The following is a 27,224-nucleotide window of genomic DNA, read 5'->3' on the forward strand; positions in this document are numbered from 1 at the left end:
TAAATATGAATTGTCTTCCTGATTCTTTCTCAACTCACCCTTAATCCCCACTTATATCAAGTGCTACCTCATTGATGAACTCTCCATAAGCCAAGAACAATAGATGTGAGCCCCTGAGGACAGGAATCCAGTCATATTTACCTCGCATCCTCAACTGAACTCAGTAACTGTTGCTTGTGTGAAGTACGTTCTCTAAATATCTGGCCAAATATCTCACTGTCTGTAGTCATCTCTAGGCTTTCCTGTAGGTATTTCATGTAGAGCACAAAGTTATTTAGAAGATATTTACCTGCACCTTTAGAAGCCTCTGCACAAATAGATGCTTCAGGGCTTATTAAAGGAGAGTCTTCACAGTGGGCGAAAAGCTCGGAAATGGCTCGGAAATGCAATGAGAAAATTATGCAAAGGGATAAGAGTAAAATAATACTGATTTTCTGTAGCACTTTTAATGATTGTGAGTGTATTGTCTAGCAACTAAATAATCAATAACAGGAAGGAAAGGAAAATCTATGTGGCATGGAGTAGTATTTTTCAACTTTTATCTAAAAAAAACCCCTGCTAATATAAAAATGAGTGCAGAGTAACCTTACTTTGCAGTGTTAAGAAATACATGTTTTATTCTGGACTGGTTGAATGACATTATTAACCCACAGAGGTTAAGATCCAATGAGATCAAAGGATTTATAAAATTTGTCTCTTTCAGAACCCTCTCCAGATTTTAACCATGGGAAGGATTGGTCTCCTCATCCTCTATGTTGTCAGAGGAAGACTTAAAACCGATGCACCTGTTTCCTCCTATATTCTATTGTTCTTGTGACAGAAATTGAAGCTTCATAGGGCTTCCTAGAGTGTAAAGGGACCTCTTTGCTGTTCAATTTCAGAACTTTATGGGCATACATGTAAACCTTTGGGACATGTGAGGTAACATGTTTCTGTCACAAAATGGCTACAAAATAGCATTTAAATTATCAGGGCATTGAGAAAAATGGACTTAACCCAAACCTGAGCTGATTACTATGCAAAGAAGTAAAAAGACAAGAAAGGTTGTCTCAGAGTAGGGATGGTTGGTAGGTAGGCATGGAGGGATACAGGGGCAAGAGTGTTTATTTGTTTTCTCTTTTGAATATTTTTTCCTAATTGTTGCAATATGGGCTAATTTTGTAATTCACAAGAGATTTTAATACTAAAAACTTCTAAAGATGACAAATAGCCCGATATGAGCCTGGAGATGAGTATTTAAAAATTCTAAAATCTAGATATATCTTAGTTAATCAAAATTTGATCAAAAGAATAAAATATGCACATATCACAGAGACTTACACAAATACATGCATGTATTTGCCTGCCTATCCATATCTATCTATCTATCTATCTATCTATCTATCTATCTATCTATCTAATCAGCTATCACTCTATAATAAATATCAATTTCAGAGCATTGTTGACAACTATGCATAGTTTAAAAACTATAATGATAGGCTGGGTGCAGTGGCTCACACCTGTAATTCCAGCACTTTGGGAGGCTGAGGCGAGTGGATTGCTTGAGCCTGGGGGTTCCAGACCAGCCTGGGTAATATGGTGAAACCTTGTCTCTACAAGAAATAAGAAAGTTAAAAATAAAATTAGCCAGATGTGGTGGCACACGCCTGTCATCCCAGCTACCCAGGAGGCTGAGATGAAAGGATTGCTTGAGCCTGGGAGGTCAAGGCTGCAGTGAGCAGTGATGGTGTCACTGCACTCCAGCCTGGGCGACAAAATGAGACCCTGTCTCAAAACAAACAAACAGACAAAAAATCTATAGTTACAATAGTAATGAAGCCTGTAAAGGTTAGAGTGAACAGTAACAATATTTTTTAATATGTTGCTTAATAGTTGAGACCCAGGAAACAGACATTATACATTTTCACTCATAGGTTACAAAGCACGTACTCTTTACCTTTTAGTCCATTCCAATCTATAATTGCCTTTGAGAGTCAATAGGCCCACTCCTGTAAGGGTAAAGATAACAGTTTAATGCATCACTAGAACCAGAGAGAAAAGGCACTGGATTCAGAAATAATATTTCTTTACTGATTTAATATATGAACCAACTCAATTATTAATCTCACTAAAAACATAAGGCCTAATTTCTCTTGGGCAATATATCAATGTTACAAGATTGTTGAATAACCCTGGACAAGATTAACTTCTATGTTATTGTGAAGGTTAGGTCAATTTCTATTGCAGAGGGAGTCAACATAATTATGTAATATTTTAAAAGGAGTTAAGAGACAGTAATAAATCTCTGATCCTGAGTCTCTGTATACACCTTATTCTAACCTAGAAACTACTCCTCTGACAGCTCATGTTTAAATCTTATTAGGTATACACTTAAAATTATACCAAAACTCCACCCTGCCAACCACACTATTACCCTCATCACCTCCTACATTCCTTCTATCTTACTTAGTATTTCTAAAACCTTTTTAATCTTATTGTTTCCTTCTCCCACTCTATCCCAAAGTTAGTACTTATTTTTGCTCCACTTTTTTTGGATTTGAATATTATTCTGATTAAGAAGTGTCAAGCTTCAATCTCTAAGTTTTCCTTTGCTCAAACATCTTCTTCAACCCACTCAAATGCTTATCTCATCAGGGTCCCCATATGCCCTGCTGAGCTGCAGAATCTAGGAATGTGGATTTTGCTGTATTTCTTCTTGAAAATGTAGGCTGCAGCTTAAGTGAAACGCACAACTTCCCCAGCTCTTCGTTATTTCAACCTGAACAACGTAAAGAAAGCAAGCTATCTCCAAGGCCAGAGCAACAGCAATTTCTCTGAGGGCGGACATCATTTCCAAACCTTCAATTTAGGTATAATGTAGCCAGAAGATGGGGACTGTAAACCAGAATAGAGTTAGAAGAGAGGAGAAATCTGTAAAGATCCCCTGAATCAATTGAAACACAAGTGGAAGGTAACAGGAAGTTACCTTACCTGTGTGACTTTGGGCAAATTCTGGACTTCTCAGACTTATCACCTATAAAGGGTGCATCATAAGACCTATTGTGTAGGTTTCTTGCGAGACTGGAAATAGCACATAGCCCAGTGCCTAGCATATAGGTGGAACTCATTTAATAGCAGTTATTGTTATTATTCTTTGCTTTGCAGAGACCAGGGCTTGTAAATGAATTAAGAAATAGTTAAAATTTCCAGAGGCATTGTGGCAAACATATACTTATCCTGGGGTGTCAAGTAAATGTTGGGGGGAGTCTAAAGAGCTTGGCTCTGACAGGGTAGTCTTTAGTACACAATTAGAAAGCTATCCCCATTAAATCTGCTTAATATTTTTCTCACCAAGGCTCCCAAATGCCCTGCCAACTTTGAGAGTCTAGTGATGTGTATTTCACTGTTCTTCCTATTGAAAATGTAGAATATAGGTTAAATAAAATTCACAACTAAAAGCAACAGTCTGCCTCTCTTGATCCACTAAACAATTGCCTCTCCTCAGAGACATGTTTTCTATTTTAACTAAAAAGTGTCCTACTGGAGCTGTACTCCAATGGCACCTCATAACTTCTATTTTCTGTTGGGATATCTACAATGTAACTGTGAGGTTAACCCCAAGTTAGGGCAGAAGATGGCTTTGTTCCTTCAAGTACCATAGGCATGGGGACATGACAGGCAGGTTACTGTGTTTCTTTCCAAAGGCCAATTGTATGACATTATTAAGTTAAGGAATTTAGGAATGTCTTGCAGATTTTCATTATTTGGACTTTTGAAATAGTTTGCCTTACTCCATTTGGAGAAAGTCACCTACACAGAAGTCTATGAAACACAAGAAAATGACAGAGACAGTGAGGTCCCTGGAGCTGGCCTCACTTTTTCAGGTCGCACTGCATAGAGCCTGTTGACCACTGACGGTGATGGTGGTCGGGGGACAGTACCACTGGGTTCTGCTTTTCCTCTGACAAGGCATCTGATCTCAGACAAATCACAGTCTATCTGAGTCTCATATTTTTCACCCAAAAAATATGGGAGTTGGACTAGATGTCTACATTCCTTCTAGCCCTAACATTATATCAACATCATTATTTGTATTCTTGATCTGACCCTTCACGTCCTCCAGGGACCCTAAATGCAGGAAATGAAAATTGGACAGGAAGTTAGGAGTCCTGTTCTCTTAATAGTCAGTGGAGTGATGATAGTCACCTCATACTCTCTGGGCCTTGACTTCCTCTTTTGTAATGAAGTTCAGTGAAGAGCAAACGAGGCAAATTCTTTGCCCAGAGAGTAGGTCTGTGGGATGTGGGGGAGAATGCACAGGGCAGATGATGTCAATGTCCTTTCCACTTCTTGAATTCTCTGAGTCATCTTAGACACTCTGTCCACCATTAGTCAACCAAAGCTGAAATTAGAAGATTTCATGAAATCTAAATTCCTGTTTTTTGTTGTTCTATGTTAGTTTTATTTTTTGTTTTTGTTTTTGTTTTTGTTAGCAGCTCTTCACAAGTAGAAAGAAAGGCTGGCTGGTAAGAAGATGATGACTCCTAAAATATTTTAAAAATCAGTCTCCTGATATCATATAAGAGGACTTCTTATAAACCCAGGAATCAAAACAATTCACAGAAGAACAGAATTGCACTGCAGAATTGTGTCTTATCTGTCTCTACTGCAAGAGCTTAATGAGCAACATTGTTTAATGTTACTTTAAATTCTAGCCTTTATTTGTTAAGAAAAACAGAGAGCAGAAAATCCCATATTGGGTTACTATATATTATTAGTCTTATTGATTGCTACTTCTTAGAATCACAAGAACAATTAATCTTAGTGATCAAAGAAAGGTGGTGCATTGCTATTTACCACTGCGTAATATGTATGAATGCAATTAACTGCCCCTCCCAGCTCAGAGAACCCTGCGGGTTAGGAAGGACATGTCATTGTTTTCTGTTTAGTAGACATCTATTGGTATAGAAGAAATCGAATTATCTTCTGTTCACATTTCAATTAAGTAGCAAGGAAGATAAACAAATAAAACTAAGTATAGCTTTGCAGAAAAAACTCTTTTCAGTTGTCTTCTTCAAAATTTCCCAAGCTCAGGCTGCTGTAAGAAATATGAACTAGAATACTTTCTTCCAAGTTGTGTATATCGAGAGGCCACTAGCTTCCATTTTATAGATTATCTGCAATCAGCTCAATTGAGTCATTAATGGGTAGAGGCATTGTAGCTGTGTATGAATAAGAAGAAGAATGTGTGAATAAAACTGATAGGCTATGACTTTTAAAAACATAGTATTTATCCTTATGAATTCCTTACGATTCCTCAGTACACAGTATGTTTGGCCCCAAGGAATTCTTGTTGTTTCTAACACAATTATTAATTCTCTGTTGTTTCTGTCTTGACACATGCAATATCAAAGTATGAATAGCTAGAAGTGTCTTTATTTTTTTCTTGATAATGCTTTACTGTTTATAAGTACATAAAACACATCCAGGGGCCCAGTGAGATTTCGTAGTCATTATTAATGATAGGAAGGTTGATATAGAAAGGGCTTCTCCTATTAAATGCTTTGGTGAAAGATGGTTTTTAAAATTTTTTCTTGGAATTTTTTCTTAATGCAAGGGCCATTCCTTCAATATGTTTATCCAATATATTTAGCCTCTTGCCAATCCCTGTTCAAGTTGCTATATTTGATGCTAATGTTTATCCACTTCCCCTTCACATATTTGACAATTCTAGAAGATAACAGCAATGAATAAAACTGTCCTCATGGAGCTTACAGACTAATTACATAAAATAAGAGCTGAAGCTGATGGCACAATGAAAAACTAGGAGCATTTCATTTGTAAGCTCTTTTTATTTATTTATTTTACTTTAAGTCTGGGATACATATGCAGAACATGCAGGTTTGTTACATAGGTATACATGTGCCATGGTGGTTTGCTTCACCTATCAACCCATCATCTAGGTTTTAAGCCCCATATGCATTAGGTATTTGTCCTAATGCTCTCCCTCCCCTTGCCCCCAACCCCCCGACAGGCTTGTGATCACACACTGGGGCCAGAAGTATCTTTAAATAGCGTTCTGGTATTCTTAAAAAGTTAAATCAATAATTCAATTATTCTTAGGGTTTCAAAAATATAAACTTTCTAAAGACATCACCTTTTGTTTTAAAAGTATAAACTTATTACAAAAAAAGAAAGAAAAGAAATAGTGATTTACTTAAGAAAGAAAGCTGACTTGGGTGCTTTAGTAATAAATGTAACTGTCCTTGAATGAAGAAAAGAATATATTTCTGAAGATTTCCACTTTATAAGCTTCATTTCTTTTTCTCAAGTACTTTCTTCAGAGATTTATGATTAAATCTCTTCAGAATCCCTGATTAATTTGCTTCAGAAGACATCAGAAGCCAGGTAAATGGAGAAGTGGAAGGAATATCTTGCCAGAAGTACCTAGGTCTTCTCTGCGTTGTGTCAAATCAGCCAAGTGAGTCATGTGTTTTAAACCTTGGTGTTTGGCTACTGCAGTATAAAAGAATTATCATGAGCCTTGACTGAGGGACCTTAATAGGGCCTCTGAGGCATCATCCGGAGGGCAAAAACACCTTTGAAGAAAGGGGCATAAGCTCATTTAGAACATTCTGAGAAGTCTCAGTGGATATAAACTAGTGTGCCTGGTAACCCTTATATTGCTAGACTGTGGGGCACTTGGGAACACTTACAATTTCTACAATAATTGCAATAGTTATTTCCTTGATTTTCCGGTCCTTTCCCCAGAATTCTCATGGAGATCCTAGCACTCTCCTTTCTTTCTCTCTCACTGAGAGAGCCCTGGGGACCCTGTGTTCTTTCTCAGTGGCTGCTACTTAGATCACCCCCGCCAGTCACTGTTATTGCTGCTGCTGCTACTTCCATTCAGTAGTCTTGTTGCTCTCTCTCCCTATCAGTACTTTGACTTGCTGTCAGAACTTCTGCTGTTGGTACCAACAATGTTGGAGGGAAGTATTTCCATTACCAATTAATGCTTTCTGGACCTCCAAGGGTCAAATTTTCTGCTTTATCTTTACTAATACCACATTAGGAATTTTGAACATGATTGCCAAAGCCCAAGAGTAACACAGCAAACATATTCCTCGCCGGTGATTGCTCAGCAACACAAAATGAGCACATGTTTGCCATATTTTGACAGCCTAAGATCCCTACCTTCTCTATATTATACATCTGCAGCCTCTCCTCCTAGCCTCCCTTTTGATGTGAGTGTGCTAACATCATCAACCTGAAGTTCAGGCTCAAAGTTTCCTTCCCCAAAGCCCAGATAATCTTTCCTAAAGAACTCTGGGAGGTACTGTCTGAGTCTCCAGACTCTCCAAGACAAATATAATGATTAGAATTCATATTAATTTTTTATTTCTTCTGTAACAAATTACTACATATGTAGTGACTTGGAACAACACAAATTTATTATTTTATATTTTGTTGGTCAGAATTCTGGTGTGGGTCTCATTAGACTAAAATCAAGATACCAGCAGTCTGTTTCTTTTTGGAGGCTCCAGGGGAGAATATTGTTCTCAGGTTGTTGGCAGAATTCAGTTCCTTGTGGTTGGAGGACTGAGGTTCTCATTTTCTTCCTGCCTGCTGAAAGTCATTCTTAGCTTCTAGAGGACACACATTCTTTGACTCATGGCCCACTTCCTCCATCTTCAAAGGGAAAGTATGCTCCATGTTAGAATTTTTTGATTAATATATTGAGATAAAGAAAAAAATAGATATTTATTAGGTCATTAAATGAAGAAGTCTAGGTGGCTTCAGGCACAGGTTGATCCAGGGGCTCAAACAGATCTTCAGGAATTTGCCTCTTTTCATCACTTGGTGCTCCTTTTCTCTGTGCTAGTTACAAATTCAGGTAGGTTATCTCTTTGTCTGTAGGCTTTTGCCTCATAATTCAATTAACTCCAGTGGAAAGAAAGGTTCTTTTCTTGTGCGTTCCATCAAAAGTTTGGGGAACAATTCTTTTACCCTGCAAGGTTATAGGATCATCTTGGAAACAGTCACCTTGTGCCAGGGTAATACAGTTCTTTGATTGGCTAGAACCAGTCAAAATCCAGACTCAAAATCCTAACCAAAATTCCCAGGTCTGGAGCCAGAAGATGGGGTAGACCCATTTTAGTCATCTGGATTGAGGGTGCATAGAGGTGCTATTTGTTACCTAAAGTGGGTGTGAATGCTAAACAGGCAAGAACAACAGATGTCTACCATTGCTTCTTGGAATTTTGGGGAAACATCACATAGAGATGTAATATCTGAAGATAAAAATATAAGTTGCAGAAGTAAGAGAAAACAGAAGTAGTAGGTAGTCTTTAGAAAAATGCACATTATAAATTATCATGTGAATAAAACAAAGTGATTTTATCTGTCACGTAAATATTACACACCCTTCCATTATCTATCTGTTCAACTTCAAGCAAAGTATTTAATCTCAAGTTTCTCATATGTAAAGTAAAGATAATATCAATTACCTTTTGGAGTTTTTGCAAGGACTCGAGATGATGCTTGTAAGGAATGCACTTCTGTGTCTGGCATTGTAGTTGGTGTTCAACGAATGACAGCTATCATTATCATCATGGTTATTATTTTAATGAATCTCAGCTTTTCTCATTCCTGAAGAACAGTTTGAACTCACCACACTTCTATATCTGTTTCCTTGAGGGTAATTAAGCTACTTATAATGGCCTTGCTCTAATTGTCAGACTTGAAATAAAATTTTTATCAATTTGCTCTGAAGCCATTAGGCCTTTATTTACTGATTCAGCTCTAAGGAAAACCCCAAAGGTCTTAAACAGAGCAATGCTGATTGAGGTTAATTTTACTTTCACATAAACCAAAGGCCTTAAAGTGAGGTTGGACTGGCAATGTTGCTGACATGAAATTCACGTCCTTCTGAGGTGTTCTGTCACTGCTGCTGTTCATCAAAATCCAGTTTTATTTTATCAACCAAGAAGCATATGATTCTGAAACTATATATCTCTCTTCTCAATTCCAGTTCTTACAGAATGGTTTCTCCTACTTAAAAGTAGGATTGCTAGGGCCTGAGGCATGGTCTGGGTAGCAGGCTGCTGGAGTGGGCATCAAGATGGAGTCTGTGTGGAGATTAGGCCCATGCAGATCAGGGGACGGGGTGGGCAGGAAGTGCTGTGGATTCAAGTGCTGCGAGATTCGCTCAGGATTCTCCCCAAGGGGGCTAGTTATTGGGCAGATAATGGCACAATTTAATCCATATTCCGGTAGAGAGTGGAACTGGAGGTCTTGACACACTTCCTGTCCTTATCCTGATGTTCTCAGGGTCAAGAAAAGGCTCAGGCCTGTGGGGACCCTGTAGTACACACTGAATGTTAGTTCCTATGACTGTAATAAGTTTTCACAAATTTGGTGGCTCAAAGCAACACAGAGTTATTATCTCACAGTTCAGGAGTCAGAAGTCTAAAATGAGTTGGCAGGGCTGTGCTCCTTCTGGAGGCTCGAAGAGAAAAATTGACTTCCTTGCCTTTTCCAGCTGTATTCATTGGCTGTGGCCCCTTCCTGCCCACTCCATCCACAGCACTTCCTGCCCACTCCATCCCCTTATCTGCACCTTCAAATCCCTTTCTCTGTTGAGCTCTGCTTCCATCATCACATCTCCTACTCAGACTCTCCTGCCTCTTTCACTTACAAGGACCCTTGTGATTATATCGTAATGACAGTCCAGCATAATCTCCCATCTCAACATCCTTAATTTAAGCCCATCTGCAAATCTCTTTATCACGTTAGGTAACATCCACAGGTTCTGGGGATTACAATCTGGTCATCTTTGGTGGGAGGGCATTATTCAGTCAACCACACCCCATCCCAAATATAGGCTCAGCTATTTAATTCAAGGGCAAAAATATTAAATTCCCCTTGCAAGAGAAACCAAGAAACATCACAGAGAAATAATAATTTTTTGCACAGAAGTCGTTACTAGTCCCCAGGATCCTCAGTGTGTGCTTACAACACACAACAGCAGGGATATGAGTCTTATTGTGACATATTAATTTTTAGGACATTTTCCTTTTTTAAAAAAGGTCTTATCAATGCCCAGAGAGGATTGGCTGATATGAAGAAACAAATTGGTAGATATGGTAGATATGAACAAGAGACTATTTTTTAAAACTTTTATAAAATCATGGTTATTTATGGGCATAAAATGAATCTTCCATTTTACCCAGACCTCAGTTAGGGGTTGTATTAGTTTACTAGGCTTCCCTAACAAAGTACCACAGACTGGGTAGTGAAACAACAGAAATGTGTTTCCTTACACTTCTACAGGCTAGAAATCTGAGATCAAGGTGACAGTAGGATTGGTTTCTTTCCAGGTCTTCCTCCTTGGTCTGTCCTCTCCTTGTGCCTTCACCTGGTCTTCCCTCTGTGCCTGTCTGCATCCCTAATCTCCTCTTCTTATAAAGACATCAGTCTTGTTAGACTAAGGCCCACCCATATGACCTTGTTTTAAACTATTTGCCTCTTTTAAAAACTTATCTCGAAATATAGTCACATTTTGAGATCCTGGGGGTTAGGACTTTACCATATGAATTTTGCAGGGACACAATCTAGCCCAGAGCAGTGATCAACCAAATTTACTGTCTTACATTATCTTTTGGTGGAGTAATTTGTTCCTGCTGCAACTGTCTCTCTTCCTCGCAAACCCAGAGAGAAGGGTTGACATAGGGGTTAGCTTCCTTGCAGACACCAGGTGTTATTTCCAGACCTTGCCATCATCAGCCAGTGCCATAGTGAAACCAAGATAAGATCAATTAATTCTGGGTCCATGTCTTTGTCAAAGTTACACAGAACCTTGGGGATTTAGAAGTTATCACAGAAAGTTATTTAAAGCTATCCAAGCTGTTATCTGTTCCTTTTTTAAGTGTTCATATTAACTCACAATTCTGTTAAAACGGGGGTTATATTCTTTGGCTTTTCCTGTTTCAGTCATTTAATTTTCATATGTAGTGGGGTGGTTACTTAAAATTATTGCTTAGAAATGCAGAAATATAGTTTTATTTTCTGTACCTGAACTCACCTTACCCATAAGACCTCTGATTCTGGTCAAGAATGAGGAAAAACTTTAAGTTGCCCGTTCAAGTTTTCTCAGTCATTTTCGGTTTAAATCTTCCTCTTTTCCAGGGTGAGTCAGTGTTTCTGCTTCCTTCCCTTCCCCAGGATGAGATCTAGACCCTGAATGGAGAGGCGAGGGGGAAGGCTCCTAGTCCTCCCTCTGTTGTCTTGTCCTTTCTATTCCCTGAGATGTCTCATGCCCAGGGTTGAATTTGCTATGTAGTTAATGAAGCTCAAACTTCAGAGCTTCTCCTTTGCAGGCCTTCCTCTGAGCTCTTAGAAAGGGCCTTAATGATGGATTCCTATGGTCATAGTTTTTGTCACGTTAATGAAAGTAAAACACTTCAACAGCAATTGATTGAGACACTGTTGCCTGCCACTTGACTTCCCCTCCACTAAAGCTGTCTGCCATATAAAGTGGCTTTGGAGTGGCCGTAAGAATATTGGTCATCTAAGGGGAAGGTGACAAACCTCAGTTTGTATTTAGTGTGATGTATTTATATGGTTTGGAGTCACTTCCACAAATGGTTAAGTTATATGCTGGACAACCTTTGGTAGTAATGGCTTCCAAAAATATTCTTGTCACTTGCTGTACCCACTTACAATGTGCAGGGCTGGAGTGCTATCATGATATACTGCCTAGAATGCCTGGCACCAGAAGTGTGTTGGGAGTGGAGGAGAAAAAGGCTTGGGAAAAGCCTATAGAAGTTTCCTCCAGTCATCAGAGGGGTGAAATAGTAAACAGAGGATTCAATTCTCACTGACAACTGGACATACAGAAGTTTCCTCAGGCCAGGAATATACTGAATAATGTAGCATATATACTTGTAAATGTCATGCATACATATATTTTTTCTGATGGAAATTATGCAAAATAGAACTTAGAATTTCTGTGTTTGTAGGACACAGGTACATCTGTGCATGAAGTCATGGGTTTTATGCTTTCCAATTATCAATAATAAAAAGTCAATCAAGCATACTTGAGGAAAATGTGAATTATCTACCTTTTTATCCTCTCTATAGAAAATATTACAAAACAATTATCCTATGAAGAGGTGATCAAAGAGTATGCAGTCCAAAATGTAGGAAAAATGTCTTACTAAGGTATAAACAAATAATTAATAAAAATGTTATCTAGATTTTGTGAGACTTGTAGTATTTGTAAGCTTTCTTATATTTTTTTCTCTATTAAAAAAAAATTCACTTTTGGCCAGGCACAGTGGCTCAGGCCTGTAATCTCAGCACTCTGGGAGGCTGAGGTGGGAGAAGTGCTTGAGGCCAGGAGTTCGAGGCCAGTCTGGCCAACATGGTGAAACCCTGTCTCTACCAAAAATACAAAAACTAGCCGGATATGGTGGCACATGCCTGTAATCTCAGTTACTCGGGTGGCTGAGGCAGGAGAATTGCTTGATCCTGGGATGCAAAGGTTGCAGTGAGCCGAGATGGTGCCACTGCACTCCAGCTTGGGCAACAGAGACTCCATCTCAAAATAAATAAATAAATATTCACTTTCATTCTTAGAATGATATTGATCATTTTGTATACTTTTTTCTTAAAGTGGCCTCCTAAAATTCTATATGCTTCAGGCCCTGTGGATCTTACCTGGCCTTCTCTATGCCTCTTGATCAGTGAACATTGAGTGCTGACACAAGGGGCCCTGGACCCCAGCCTGAGGCAGCTTATTCTGCATTCTCAGTGTCCAGACCCCAGAAATGTCCTGGCCAGTGTTCCCTGAGCAGGAGCATTTCAGAACACCTCTGTCCATTTCTGAATTTCAGAAGCACTGGATGCCTCAGTGACATTCAGGATGCCCCACTGGCATCACGGGCATGTGAAGTGTGGGGAGCAGAGGGCACGCGACTCCAAGGCCCCTTTCAGAACAAACACCCCACGCCAGTGCACCCACCAGTGTTGGGATGTGTGCGTGCATGTGTGCTTGGTGGGGGTGGAGGTGGGCCTAAGGACCTTTGTGAAGTCATCTATTTTTTTTTTATTAAACAGGGCTGCACTTCATTCAGTGACGAAAGGAAGACGTGATGAGATGGGACAACCAGGTTTTGAGAGAATGCTTGACTTGGCATAAGACCAATTTTATTAGCCAAGAATGACAAGACACATTGAACAGAGGTGTCAGACTTGTGAGAAGTATATAAAATAGGATTCCAAAGCAGAGAGGGCAGTTGAACGAATGAAGAAAGTGACCTCTGCTCTGAAGTCAGCTTGTGCACTTAGTTTCTGTCCCTGGAATCAGACACAGTGAGAATCAGAAACATTTCCTTAATACAGCAAAGTAATCACAACATGATGCCCAAGAAAGAGACTGGCACCACATGGAACATTCTATAAGTGTGAGGCCATCTTGACCCAGCCTCCTTTGCTTTGGAATTTCTAAACATGTCAGGAAATTTGTTGATCTACCCCCTCCAAGTGTTTGGATCTCGGAAGGCAGACCAGTCTTATTCCTACTGACACTCTCCAAGCACCTCCTCCCAACTTCAGGACCAGCTTTTATAGCACTGTGGTGTAATTTTTAAGAGCACAAAATGGAGATAAATCAAAGTGGTCCAATACCAACACCATGAATTACAAGCTGTGTAATCTTGAGTAAATTACTTAACCTCTCTGAGCTTCAGTTTTCTTATCTGTACAAAAGATTGCTGTAAGGATGAATGAGTTCATATATGTAAACTACTTGGAATACAAAATATGTATGTTTTAACTGTTATAATCCCCTCACTGTAGGACATGCACTTGTACCATATATTCTTCCTCTTTTCTGGCCTATGATTTAGAGTGAAAACAATGTGGTCAGGCCTTCAAGCTTTGTTCCCTAATGTTTAAAAAGAAGCTTTTGGGATTTAGAACATTCTTTTCTATCTCAAAGACTGAGTAGTTACATTCAAAAGCCCAGATTTCAGGGCTATTGTTCCTGAGATGGACTTCAAGTGCCTATTTTGGAAGTCTAGAAATGAACATAGATTTTTAGCTTCTGCGTGCATCCCAGCTATAAAGATACTAAACTTCTCTGAGGCAATAGGCACTGCTGGCTAAAAAGAGAAAGATCATGAGCAAAGATGAAAAAAGGGGCAGTAATTAAAGTAATAATATATTTCAAAATGCTACACAAATAATAATGAAGGAGAACAAACATTTAAAATTTCCTTTAAAAGTGCCAGGTGTCAGGCCATGAAATATATATAAACTTCATCTTTGCAACCACCTATTATATGCATAGTTTTATTTTACTGGTGAGTAAACGAAGGTTTGTAGAGTTTTGTTACTGCTCAAACAATACAGTGTGATAAGGGGTAGGCTATGATTTGAGCTGACGTTTTGCTTCCAAGGACACGGTCTTTCCACTCGTTGTTCCTGGTACCCCACCCCCTGCTCTCTAAAATTTAATTCTCTGAAAGAAAAGCATCTGACTGGAAAACAGCATTTTCTATCAAGAGATTTCCATCATCAGCTGGGAATGTATCAATTGTGGGGAGCATCTTCCTGAACCTTCAAAGCCTTTTCTCTGTCAGAAGAGAAATCTCAACCTCATCAGAATCTAGGGTACTGGTTCCATCTGCAAGTTTGACATCTCAATGTGATTAGGTAGGTAGTCAATTCTAATTAACTCTCCTCTTCCAGCCAATTCTGCCAATACATTGGTTCTATTTTAAAAATTCAGACAATTCTTGTGGAAAAACATCATTCCATCTCTCTCCAAATACTTGTTACTTTGACTCTAAGACCTCATCTTTATTCTTATCACAAATTCCTCAGAAGAACGGTTAAATTGATTATGCATAAGATGGTGACAAAGAAATTTTGTTTACTTCAGAATGGAAATACAGACATCAAATATATGAACTCGTTGCTCTGGCTAACATTGAAAATCAGCACCATACAAACTGTCATATGATTTCAATCTTAATCCCAGGTGAGATTGTGAGGAAGACAAAATTTGCTTTTTATGGCCCACTCCCTCCCTTCCCTCCACCTGCCACCTTGCCTTTATATCTCACCAACGATGTTGTATCTAACATTCACATTCATTCTTTACTTCTTTCTTCCAAGACCTGGTTGCAGGGAAGAGTATGGTAGACTCACTCATGCTAATGCCGTTGGATCCCAGCTTGCCTCTTATAGCTTCTTTCTCAGTTTCCCATATGTAGATTCATAAACATGCTTGCTTCCCTCTCACCTTCCATCCTTCTTTTAGGATTGTTTCTCCTCTTGTCTTCAATTTAATTATAAGGGAGTTAGGAAGCCTCTAAATTCTTTCCATTTTACCACATGGAAGGGTTTAAAAATAGATGATTCTGCTCACAGTCACACAATCATTTATCAATGTTCTGCAAGTTCTGGTTAAGGTAGTAAGACTTAAATAGAAGTAAGTTGTGCATAAGTTTTGTAAAAGTGAAGACAACATTTTTTTTATTTGTAGGTAGGAAGATATACCTAGAAAATACATGTGACTAAAGTCAAAAAGTATTATGATAAAAAAGTTTAGTAAAATTATATGTATGAAAATCATGTAACAATAAATGTGGGTTATTCCAAAAATTCCCATTTAGAAAATATAATGAAAGATGAGCTCATTCACGGTATTGGCAAAATACTTGAAATAAGATAGAAATAAACGTATCAAGAACCATAAGGTTTATATGAAGCTAACTAATTTTTTTTAAATGAATAGGCAATATACCTAGAAGAGAATCGGAGAAACATGGCTTCCTCTATATATGAGGATTCTGTATATGCCAATTTTTTTTCTTCTAAATAAATATATACACAAACATAATTCCAACAAATATTCAGATGGGATTAAAAATCAACTTTGCAAATGCTTACAATGTTTATCCAGAAAAACAGATAGACAAAAACAAATAAATAAAAAATAAACAAAAAAATAAATAACAAAAAAACAAATAAAAAATAAAAAATAAACTAAATTTATTGCTAATAAAACTTAGTAAGGTTATAAAAGTTTAAATAAAGTATTGCATGCCAAGAATTTGAGATTGATTAGGATTTTAATAAATCACTACTTTTATATACGTTCATTTAGTACTTACACGTTATAGAATTTCCGTTAAGTCTTAGTAGCATGTTAAAATGAAGTCATGCTAACATTGTTTTCCAAGTTATAGTGACTTAGCCTCTGCCTTTGATACTGAAGGTCTTCTTCCATCCCCTGGCAAAGTCACCAGTAGTTATTTCTGGGATGTCAGGGTGTGTCACCTGGTGGCTCGTGTTCTTCACTGAGTCACATCACCACGACCTCTGCTGCTGGTATTCTTTATAGGAATCCCCCAAGGTGGCTTCTCTGAGCCCACAGACTGCCAAAGCCCCCTCAGTGAGCAATGACAAAGTTGGGAGGACCCAGTGCAGTAACATTTATGCCCACAGCCTCAGGTGTATTTCATGAAAACATCTCCTGACCCTTCTGACCTTAATTCCCCTCATCATCAGGGCATCAATTTAGCTCCTCAAGCCAGAGAGAGATAGATCTGAGTCATCTTGTCTTACGCAGTCCTGTTCCTCCATCTTTCTTCTTTATTTCTTCTTCAACTTCTCCATTCTATTTCAGCCCCAAATAAAAACCCCCATGCTCATCAAATCGTGCAAATAAATTAGGTTACTAGTTCATCAAACAGGCAGGTTCTGATTCCAAGTTTATGCTCAACAGAGGCACTGTGCTGTAAAAGAATAATCTTAACTGTATTATAAATCACTTATAAACAGTGAGTTATTATAGTGTATTAGAGGCTAGGCAGAGTACATAGGTAAAAAGTCATGGTTTCTGTCCTCAAAGAAACTTATTGTCCAGGAGTCACAGTTATTATTTCACTAGGATATCAGGAGAGGGCATATCAAGTGCGTTTCTAAAATACATAAACTATATTTTTCCTACTTTACCAAATTAAATGTGTTATAAAAGAACAATTAAATTGAGTCTGTCATGACTTGTTCTCAGTTAAGCTCCTAGAATTCTTTACTCCATTCTTTATGTTCTTAAAATTCATTTGATTGTATTTCTGAGAATCCACATCAAACTACAAGAATGCGGTAAAAAAATCAAAACAAGGCTATTGCCAGTCTTTTAGCAGTTTTCCTGTTCTCTGCAGATCTTCAAAAGTGTTTCACTGTCTGCCACACTCTGTTAATACCTTTGAAATGATATACTAGACAAGATGCCAGCACTTTGAAAATAATCATGTGATTTCTTACATGATCTCCACCTCTATTTTAGACTGACATGACATAGTTATCAAATAAACATCTCATTGATCATAGACTTTTAACTGGCAGTTGTGTTATGTACAAAGGAAAACTGGTAAACAAAACACGGTCTTATTCAAAGCTGTCTTGGTTTAGTGGAGAAGATAGGTTTAATAAACAAATAATGAAGATGATGATAACGATGATAGTGACTATGATATGATATGATAATGATAGAAGTACAATAGGCAGAAGAATACTTTTTATTCAATAAGTGGTGCTGGGCTAATTGGCTATTTAGCTGATCTCTATCTCACACCACACCCCAAATCAATTTTGGATGAATTATAGATTTAAATGTGAAAGTTAAAGCATAACATCTTCATACCTTGGGTAGAAAAATATTTCATAATCCCCTCTTGAAGCAATGTGCTCAGGACAGCATTCTTTTAAACCACATATTGTGAGTACATGGAATTCTACAATGAGCCTCATGCCCAGCCCTATCTATTTTCTTGGGAGTCAAGAGACAAGTTTCAATTTCTGCCACCAAGGTTGCAGAATGAAATGGGTACAGTTTTAAAGGGAAGTGATCCCCAACCACATGTGTAAAATGGCTTATTATTATCATTTTATCTCCCCTCAAGTATAAAAGAGTCAGAAGAGCCAGTATGAAAACTGGAAAGAGTCAGGGTGCTCATTATCCACAGTAGCTTTTTTTGTGTGCAGCTGAAAGAGAGATGCAAGAGCCGGAATCAAAGATTTGTAACCACGAGAGATGAGACTAGCTGTGATTCAGGGAGAAAAAGCAAGAGTTTAATGAGCAGTGCAAATGTAAGCACAATTTGAAGGGAATTGGGTCAAGGATTGAAGTATGGGCTATGTGGGGCAGATTAGGAAATGAAGTCATTTAATAAAATGTGTTGGATGTCGTTTTATTTTGATGTCCTGTTAAAACATCAGGTAAGGTTGGACCTTATTCACACCAAGTGTGTATCCCTCCTGTTCTCTCTCTTTCTTTCTTTATTTCTCTCTTTCTTGAAGGAAGATGTAAAAACTTACTTCCATCAGAGATCCAGTTCTAGTCAGGGGTATAGCTGTTTTCCAGACAAAGCACCTTCCCAAAATTCTTGCTATTTTCTTCTAACGTTGAACTGGGTTGGTCGACCTAAAAGACTCTTAAATCTTTTCTTTTCAACTAATATTAATTCCTGAACCAAAGTGATCTGTCAGCCAGTTACATCTGAATTACCTGGGGTAATTGTTAATTAAAATGCAAATTCCTGGTTTTGCTTGAGACTCCCTGAATCAGAATCTCCTAGAAGTAGGTTCTAGGAATCTGTATTTTAAACAAGCCCTGTTGATGATTCTTAGGAATTCTCAACTAGTAAGGAACTCTCCCAAGTGTCTTTTCTCAGCTCTTCTTTTCTCTTGGCTTGGGCTCATCTCTTTAAGTCTCTAGAGCTGAAGATATTTTCTAGGCAGAGGATACACCACCAACAGGAAAACAAAACAAATAACTAATATGATCTTCTTAAAAATGTCAGACTGTGTTACTTTCCAATTTTAAAATATTCAGTGGCTTCCCAATGAACTGGGAATACAATATTTCCATGGCTACATGCCCTTCATTTCTGATCTCATTCTCTACTACTTCATCTTTTCTGGCCTGATATCCTCTGATTATGCTGGCATAGGATCAGATCCTTTAACCTGCCAGGATTGTTTCTGTCCGGGAGCCTTTGAGGTTACTCACTCTCTGCATGGAAAACATTTTCCATGTCTTCCTACTGCTGGCATCATCATCATTCAGATCTCAGATGCTGCTTTACCTCAAGAAGCCCCTGACTTCCCTTTCTTGTGTGTGCGTGTACATATACATGTGTGTGCTCCACTTGTCATTCTCCAGTACATCAGACTATTTAAAATTTACTTTCTGGCATTTATCACTTCTGAAATCAACTAATCAATCAATTAATCACTTTTTCTTTCTATCCTTTTTAAAGAAAACTGACCTGTCTCCCTGCTTCCCAGCTGCAAATGAATGAAAGAAGAATCTTCATATATGTTAATCATTGCTATGCTTTTAGTGCCTAAAGTGGTGCTTGGCACACAGTAAGTTTCTATAATTACTTAGTGAATGTTGAGTTAAAAATACCAAAAGTTCAAGACATTAAAGGATTCTTATGGTACCCAAATCAACCCTCAAACCATAATGCCTTCAGTTCTCCTAATTTTATAATTGCTCCCTTTTCTACCCAACGATCTTACCTCCAGTCTTGTAATATCTGCCCGTAATTACGTATGAGGGAAGAAGGACAAAGACCTAGATAATATAATGTGTAATTCGGCAAATGAGACCTTACACTTTAATATGGAAGCTAAATGGCAAATAGTGTCAATGTAATTCCCTACATATAAAGAAAAGATATGGACCTTAAATTAATTAATCAATTAAATCATTAGTTCAACAAGTATTTATTGCTAACCAATTCTGTGCCAGGCCCTCTCCTAGGCGGTTAGAATACATGAGTAAACACAACAATGACTCCTACTCATGGAGCTTACTCATATTCCTTCTTGGTAGCTAGAACATGAGAATCTTCAAGTTATGGAGAGCTTGTCTTCTAGCCTGATTTATCTTCCTCAAATGTTTATTTGTAAATAATAGTTTTTGCTTAGAAACCTCAACTCTTCTTAGATATGCAAATAAGTTGCTCTGAAATACACATTTCTAATTATCTCCAAAATATCATGCATTATAAATTGAGGCAGGATGCGGTGGCTCATACCTGTAATCCCAGCACACTGGGAGGCTGAGGCAGGAGGATCACTTGAGCCCAGGAGTTCGAGACCAACCTAGGCAACATAGCAAGACTCCATCTCTACAAATAATCTAAAAATATTAGCTGGGCATGATGGCATGTGCCTGTAGTCCCAGCTACTCAAAATTCTGAGGTGGAAGGAGCCTGGGAGATCCAGCCTGGGTGACAGAGTAAGACCCTGTCTCAAGAAAAAAAAAAAGGGAATATATATACCTATATTATTTCCAACAGAAAATTATCTGCATAGCAATAGTTTTAGAAGTTAAGAAAGTAGATGAACTCAGAGGAAGAGTAGATTACAGCAATTAGGGGATAAAAATGCCATTCAGTTATTAGGTCATTGTTCTTCTTTATTCGTTGACAATATCTATGAGTTTAACATTAATGTTAGAAAAAATTGCTTGAACAAAACTCATAACTGAACTTCAATTCCATAGAGAGGTATTTATGTATATAAAACGATATATATTTATGTATATAAAAGATACATAAAATGACATTTTGAAAATTTAATTCTATCTCATCTGCAAATCTGAGGAATTAATACAAAATTTGAAATAAAGATTAAAATTCATTAAACATTTTTATCAACATATAGAAGGATAGATTTTTAAAATGCCAATCATTTAAACAAACCAAAGCACACATCCTTTATACACTAGGAAGACATGATCAAGCCATCTTTTATTCCTCTAGGTAGAAGAAAGGACCACTCTCCTTGCCTTCCTCAGGGTTGTACAGAACACTTATAAATATCTATTTTTCATTCTGTTACAGAGAGTAATATGCAAATGGGAATGGGATGAGGTATAGAAAAATGGGAACTGTCAGTGCTTTTTCTCTAGGTACCAGTGGCTGGATGATTTTGCACTTGTGCCCTTTTAATAAACAACTCAAAAGCTGAGAAGAGGGGAGGACAGAACAAACATTGTTATGTTAATTAATTAATTTTAGTTTTAATTTTGTTTGAGACCGAGTCTCCCTCTGTCACCCAGGCTAGAGTGCAGTGATGCAATCTTGGCTTACTGAAATCTCTGCCCCCTGAGTTCAGGTGATTCTTGTGCCTCAGTCTCCCGAGTAGCTGGGATTACAGGTGCATGTCACCACACTTGGTTAATTTTGTATTTTTTGTAGAGATGGGGTTTCGTCATGTTGTTTAGGCTGGTCTCAAACTCCTGGCCTCAAGTGATCTGCCAATCTTGGCATCCCAAAGCGCTGGCTGGGATTACAGGCATGAGCCATACCTAGCCGAATTAATTTATTTTTTTATTTTTAATTGACAAATAAAAATGATATGTATTTATCATGTACAACATGATGTTTTGAAATATGTATACATTGTGTAATAGCTAAATCGAGCTAATTAACATACACATTACCACATTCAGTTATCTTTTTTGTTGTTGTTGTAAGAACACTTAAAATTGATCTCAGCAATTTTCAAGAATACAATACATTGATTAACTATAGTTACCATGTTGTACAATAGATTTCTTGAACTTACTCCTTTTGTCTAACTGAAATTTTGAATCCTTTGACCAACATCTTCCCCAGCTTTCTCCCAGCCACTAGTAACCACGATTCCACTCTCCACTTCTATAAGGTCAACTATTTTAGATTCCATATATAAGTGAGATCATACAGTGTTTGTTTCTCTTTGTTTTAATTTCTATTTACTTTATTTATATTGACACTTATTAGATGTACATATTTTTGGGGGTACATGTGATAATTGAATTTTTTTTTTACTATTGAGTTTTTTGAGCTCCTTATAGATTCTGAGTATTTATGAATCCCTTTTCAGATGGCTAGTTTGCCAATTTCTCCCCCATTCTGTGGGTTGTCTCTTCGTTTTGTTGATTATTTCCTTTATCTTCTATTCTGTTCCATCGGTCTATGTGTCTGTTTTTAGGTGAGTATCATGATGATTTGGTTACTATAGCTTTGTAGTATATTTTGAAGTGAGGTAGTGCAAAGCTTCCAGCTTTGTTCTTTTTTCTCAGAATTGCTATGGCTAGGCAGGGTAGTTTTTGCGACATATAAATTTTAGGATTAATGTTTCTATTGCTGTGAAGAATGTCATTGGTATTTTGATAGAAATTGTATTGAATTGGTAAATTACTTTGGGTAGTATTGTCATTTTAACAATATTAATTTTCAATTCCATGAGCATGGAATATCTTTCATTTGTTTGTGTCTTCTTCAATTTCTTTCAACAGTGTTTTATAGTATTTCTTGTATAGATCTTTCACATCTTTGGTTAAGTTGATTTCAAGTATTTTATATTCTTTGTAGCTATTGTAATTGGATTGCTTTCTTGATTTCATTTTTAGATTGTTTGCTATTGGTTTATATAAATGCTACTGATTTTTGTTTTGTTGATTTTATATCCTGTACCTTTGCTGAATTTTTCAGTTCTGACAGTTTTCCTGTGGAGTCTGCACATATTTCTAAATATAAGATCATGTCGTCTGTGTACAAGACTAATTTGACTTCTTTTCCAGCTTGGATGTCCTTTATTTCTTTCTCTTGCCTAATTGCTCTGACTGGGACTTCCAGTATTATGTTGAATAAAAGTGGTGAAAGTGGGCATCCTTGTCTTGTACAGATCTTAGAGAAAATACTTTCAATTTTTCCCTGTCAGTATTATGTTGGCTGTGGATTTGTCATATGTGGCTTTAATTATTTTGCAGTATGTTTTTTCTATGCCCAGTTTGTTGAGGGTTTTTATCATAAAGTGTTGTTGAATTTCATCAAATGTTTTTCCAGCATCTATTGAAACAACCATAAAGGTTTGTTCTTGTTTCTGTTAACATGATGTATCCCATTTACTGATTTGCATATGTTGAAACATCCTTGCATCTCTGGGATGAATCCCACTTGATCATAATGAATGATCTTTTTAATGTATTCTTGAATCGGTTTGCTAGTATTTTGTTGAGGATTTTTGCATCTATGTTCATCAGTGATATTGGCCTGTAGTTTTCTTTTGCGTTGTGTTTTTGTCTGATTTTGGTATTAGGGTAATGCTGGCCACATATAATGAATTTGGAAGTATTCTCTCCTCAATTTTTTTTGAAGAGTTTGAATAGAATTTCTATTAACTCTTAAGTGTTTGGTAGAATTCAATAGTGAAGCCATCACATCCAGGGCTTTTCTTTGCTGAGAGAGTTTTTATTACAGCTTCAGTCTTGTTACTTGTTATAGATTTGTTAAGGTTTTTAAATTTCTTCATGGTTTGATCTTGGTAGGTTGTATGTGTCCAGAAATTTATCCATTTCTTCCAGGTTTTCCAATTTGTTGGCATATATTTCTTCATAATAGAAATTAGTTCTATGTATTTCTGTGGTCTCAGATTTTACGCCTCCTTTTTCATTTCTGATTTTATTTATTTGGGTGTTTTCCTTTTTTCTTAGTCTAGCTAAAGGTTTGTCAATTTAATCTTTTCAAAAAACCAACTTTTTGCTTTGTTGATTTGTATTGTTTACTTAGTCTCAATTTCTTTTATTTCTGTTCTGGTATTTATCATTTCTTGCCTTCTCCTAATTTCGGGTTTGGTTTGTGCTTGCTTTTCTATTTCCTTGAGGTATATCATTAGGTTGTTTATTTAAGTTATTTCAACTTTCTTCATGTAGGTGTTTATTGCTATAAACTACTCTCCCCATAACACTTTTGCTGTATCCCATAGATTTTGGTATGTTTTATTTCCATTTTAATTTGTTTAAAGGCTTTTTACATTTCATTCTTAATGTCTTCATTGATTCATTCGTCATTCAGAAGCATGTTGTTGAATTTCCATGCACTTGTGTAGTTTCTAAGGTCCCTCTTGTTGTTGATTTCTACTTTTATTCCAATGTGGTCAGAAAAGATACTTTATATAATTTCTACTTTTCTGAATTTTTTCAGAGTTACGTTGTGGCCTAAAATGTTGTCTAATCTAGAGAATGTTCCATGTGCTGATGAAAAGAATGTGTACTCTGCAGCAGTTGGGTAAGATGTTCTGTAAAGGTCAGTTAGGTCTTTTTGGTCTGGTATGGAGTTTAACTCCAGTGTTTCTTTGTTGATGTTCTGTATGGATGATCTGTCTCTCACTGAGAGTGAGGTGTTGAAATCCCTTACTAATATTGTATTGCAGTCTTTCTCTCCCTTTAGATCTATTAATGTTTGCGTTATATACTTAGGAGCTCTGATGTTGGATGCGTACATATTTATAATTGTTATATCCTCTTGCTAAATTGATCTTTTTATCATTATGTAGTTACTTTCTTTGCCTCTTTTTCTAGCCCTTGACTTGTAGTCTATTTTACCAGATATAAATATAGCTACTTCTGCTCTTTTTTGGTTTCCACTTGCATGGAATGTCTTTTTCCATACTTTCACTTTTAGTTACATGTGTCTTTGTAGGTGAGGTGAGTTTCTTGTAGGCACCATATAGTTGGGGTTTTTTTTCTTAATCCATTCATCCACTTTATGTATTTTAATTGGAGAATTCATTCTATTTATATTCAGTGTTACTGTCGATAAGCAATACTTATCTTTGATAAGAAAAACTTACTACTGCTATTTTATTCCTCATTTTCTGGTTGTTTTGTAACTCGAGTCTTTTACTTCATTTCTTTCATACTGAAATCTTTTGTGGTTAAGTGATTTTCTTTCTAAGTATGTTTTAATTTATTTAGTTTGTATTTTTAGTATCTATTATAGAATTTTGCATTGCGAATACTATGTGGCTTACAGAAACCATCTCATAGATATAACAAGTTATTTTAAAGAGATGACAATTGATGTGTTTTGCATATTTGTCCTCTCCAAATCTCATGTTGAAATATAATCCCCAGTGTTGAAGGTAAGGCCTGGTGGGAGATGTCTAGATCATGGGGACAGATCCCTCATGAATGGCTTAGTGTCATCCCCTTGGTGATGAGTGAGTTACTCTGAGTTCATGTGAGATCTGATTGTTTAAAAGTATGTAGCACCTCTCCCCTCTTTCTCTTGCTCCTACTCTCACCATGTGACATGCCTGCTCCCCCTTCACCTTCTGCCATGACGATAGGCTTCCTGAGGCCCTCATCAAAAGCTTAGCAAATGCCAGCACTGTGCTTCCTGTACAGTCTGTGGAACTGTGAGCCAATTAAACTTCTTCTCTATATAAATTGCCTGGCCTCAGATATTTATTTATAACAACACAAAAATGGCCTAATACAACAGCTTATCTTAGATCACAAAAAAGATACAAAAAAAAGCAACAACAAAGTTTATTCTTTAGCTGCACCCCAGTCCTTCTCCAGTCCATTTGACTTTTTGTCATCTCAATTTACATTTTTTTTTGAGACAGGGTCTCACTCTGTCATCCAGGCTGGAGTGCAGTGGTGTGATTATGGCTCACTGAAGCCTCTAACTCCAAGGCTCAAGTGTTTCTCCCACCTCAGTCTCCTGAGTCACTAGCACTATAGTGGGTGCGTTCCACCACATCTGGCTAATGTTTTAATGTTTTGTAGAGATGGGGTCTTGCTGTGTTGTCCAGGCAGGTCTTGGCCTTCTGGCCTCAAGCAATCCCCCTGCTTTGACCTCCCAAAGTCCTGGAATTACAGGCATGAGCTACAGTGTCCAGTCTCAATTTATATATTTTTATACTGCCTATTTCTTTTTTTTTTTTTTTTTTTTTGAGACAGAGTCTCGCTCTGTCGCCCAGGCTGGAGTGCAGTGGCGGGATCTCGGCTCACTGCAAGCTCCGCCTCCCGGGTTCACGCCATTCTCCTGCCTCAGCCTCCCAAGTAGCTGGGACTACAGGCGCCCGCCGCTACGCCCGGCTAATTTTTTTTTTTTGTATTTTTAGTAGAGACGGGGTTTCACCGTTTTAGCCGGGATGGTCTCGATCTCCTGACCTCGTGATCCGCCCGCCTCGGCCTCCCAAAGTGCTGGGATTACAGGCGTGAGCCACCGCGCCCGGCCTACTGCCTATTTCTTAATAGGTTGCAGTAGTTAATGTTTTTGATAGATTTGTCTTACAGGCTTCTTACTAGAGTTGTAAGTGGATTTCACACCATAATTACAGTATGGGAGTATTCTGGGGTTGTCTATGTTGTTTTCCAGTGGGTTTTATACCTTCAAATGTTTTCTTTTTACATATTAGGGATTTTTTTCCTTTCTGATTGAAGAACTTCCTTTAGCATTTCTTATAAGATGGGGCTGGTTCTATGAGTTCTGTCAACTTTTGTTTATGTAGAAAAGACTTTATACCTCCTTTATATTTTAAAGATAGCTTGTCTGGATAAGATATTCTTGCATGGCCGTTTTGTTTTTGTTTCAACATTTTGAAAGTGTTGTTCTACTCCCTCCTGGCCTATGTGATTTCTGTTGAGCACTCTGTTGCCAGATGAATTGAAGTTCTTTTGTATGTTATTAGCTTCTTTTCTCTTGCTGCCTTTAGGATCCTCCCTCTCTTTGTCCTTGACCTTTGAGAATTTGATGATTAAACTCTCAAAGTTTAAACATTGTCTGCCTTGGGATAGTCTTGTTGGGGTCAAATCTGTTTGGTGTTCTCTGACTTTCTTGTACCTAGATATTTGTATCTTTCTCGAGTTTTGGAAAGTTGTCAGTTATTATTTCTTTAAATAAGCTTTCTATCTCTTGCTGTTGCTTGGCTCCCTCTTGAATGCCAATATTTTTTAGATTTTTTTTTAGGTAATTTTCTGTATTGTGTAGGCAATCTTCTTTTATTTTTATTCTTTTTTTCTTCTTTGTATTTTCAAATAGCTTGTCTTCGAATTCACTGATTCTTTCCTCTTCTAGATCTAGTCTGCTGTTGAGAGCCTCTAATGAATTTTTCTGTTTAGCAAATATATTTCTCAGTTCCAGGATTTCAGTTTGATTTTTAAAATTATTTTAATCTTTCTGTTAAATTTTTATGATAATTTCCAAATTTCTCTTCTGTGTTATCTTGGAAATCACTGAGTCTTCTTAAAACTGCTGTTTTGAATTCTTGTGTCAGGGAGCTCATATATCACTATCTTGTTAGTGTTAGTCACTGGTTTATTGCTTTGTTTATTTGGGGAGGTCATGATTTCCTCTTTGCTATCGTTTCTT

This window comes from Homo sapiens, chromosome 4, assembly GCF_000001405.40.
Source record: "Homo sapiens chromosome 4, GRCh38.p14 Primary Assembly".
NCBI classification, from domain to species: Eukaryota; Metazoa; Chordata; class Mammalia; order Primates; family Hominidae; genus Homo; species Homo sapiens.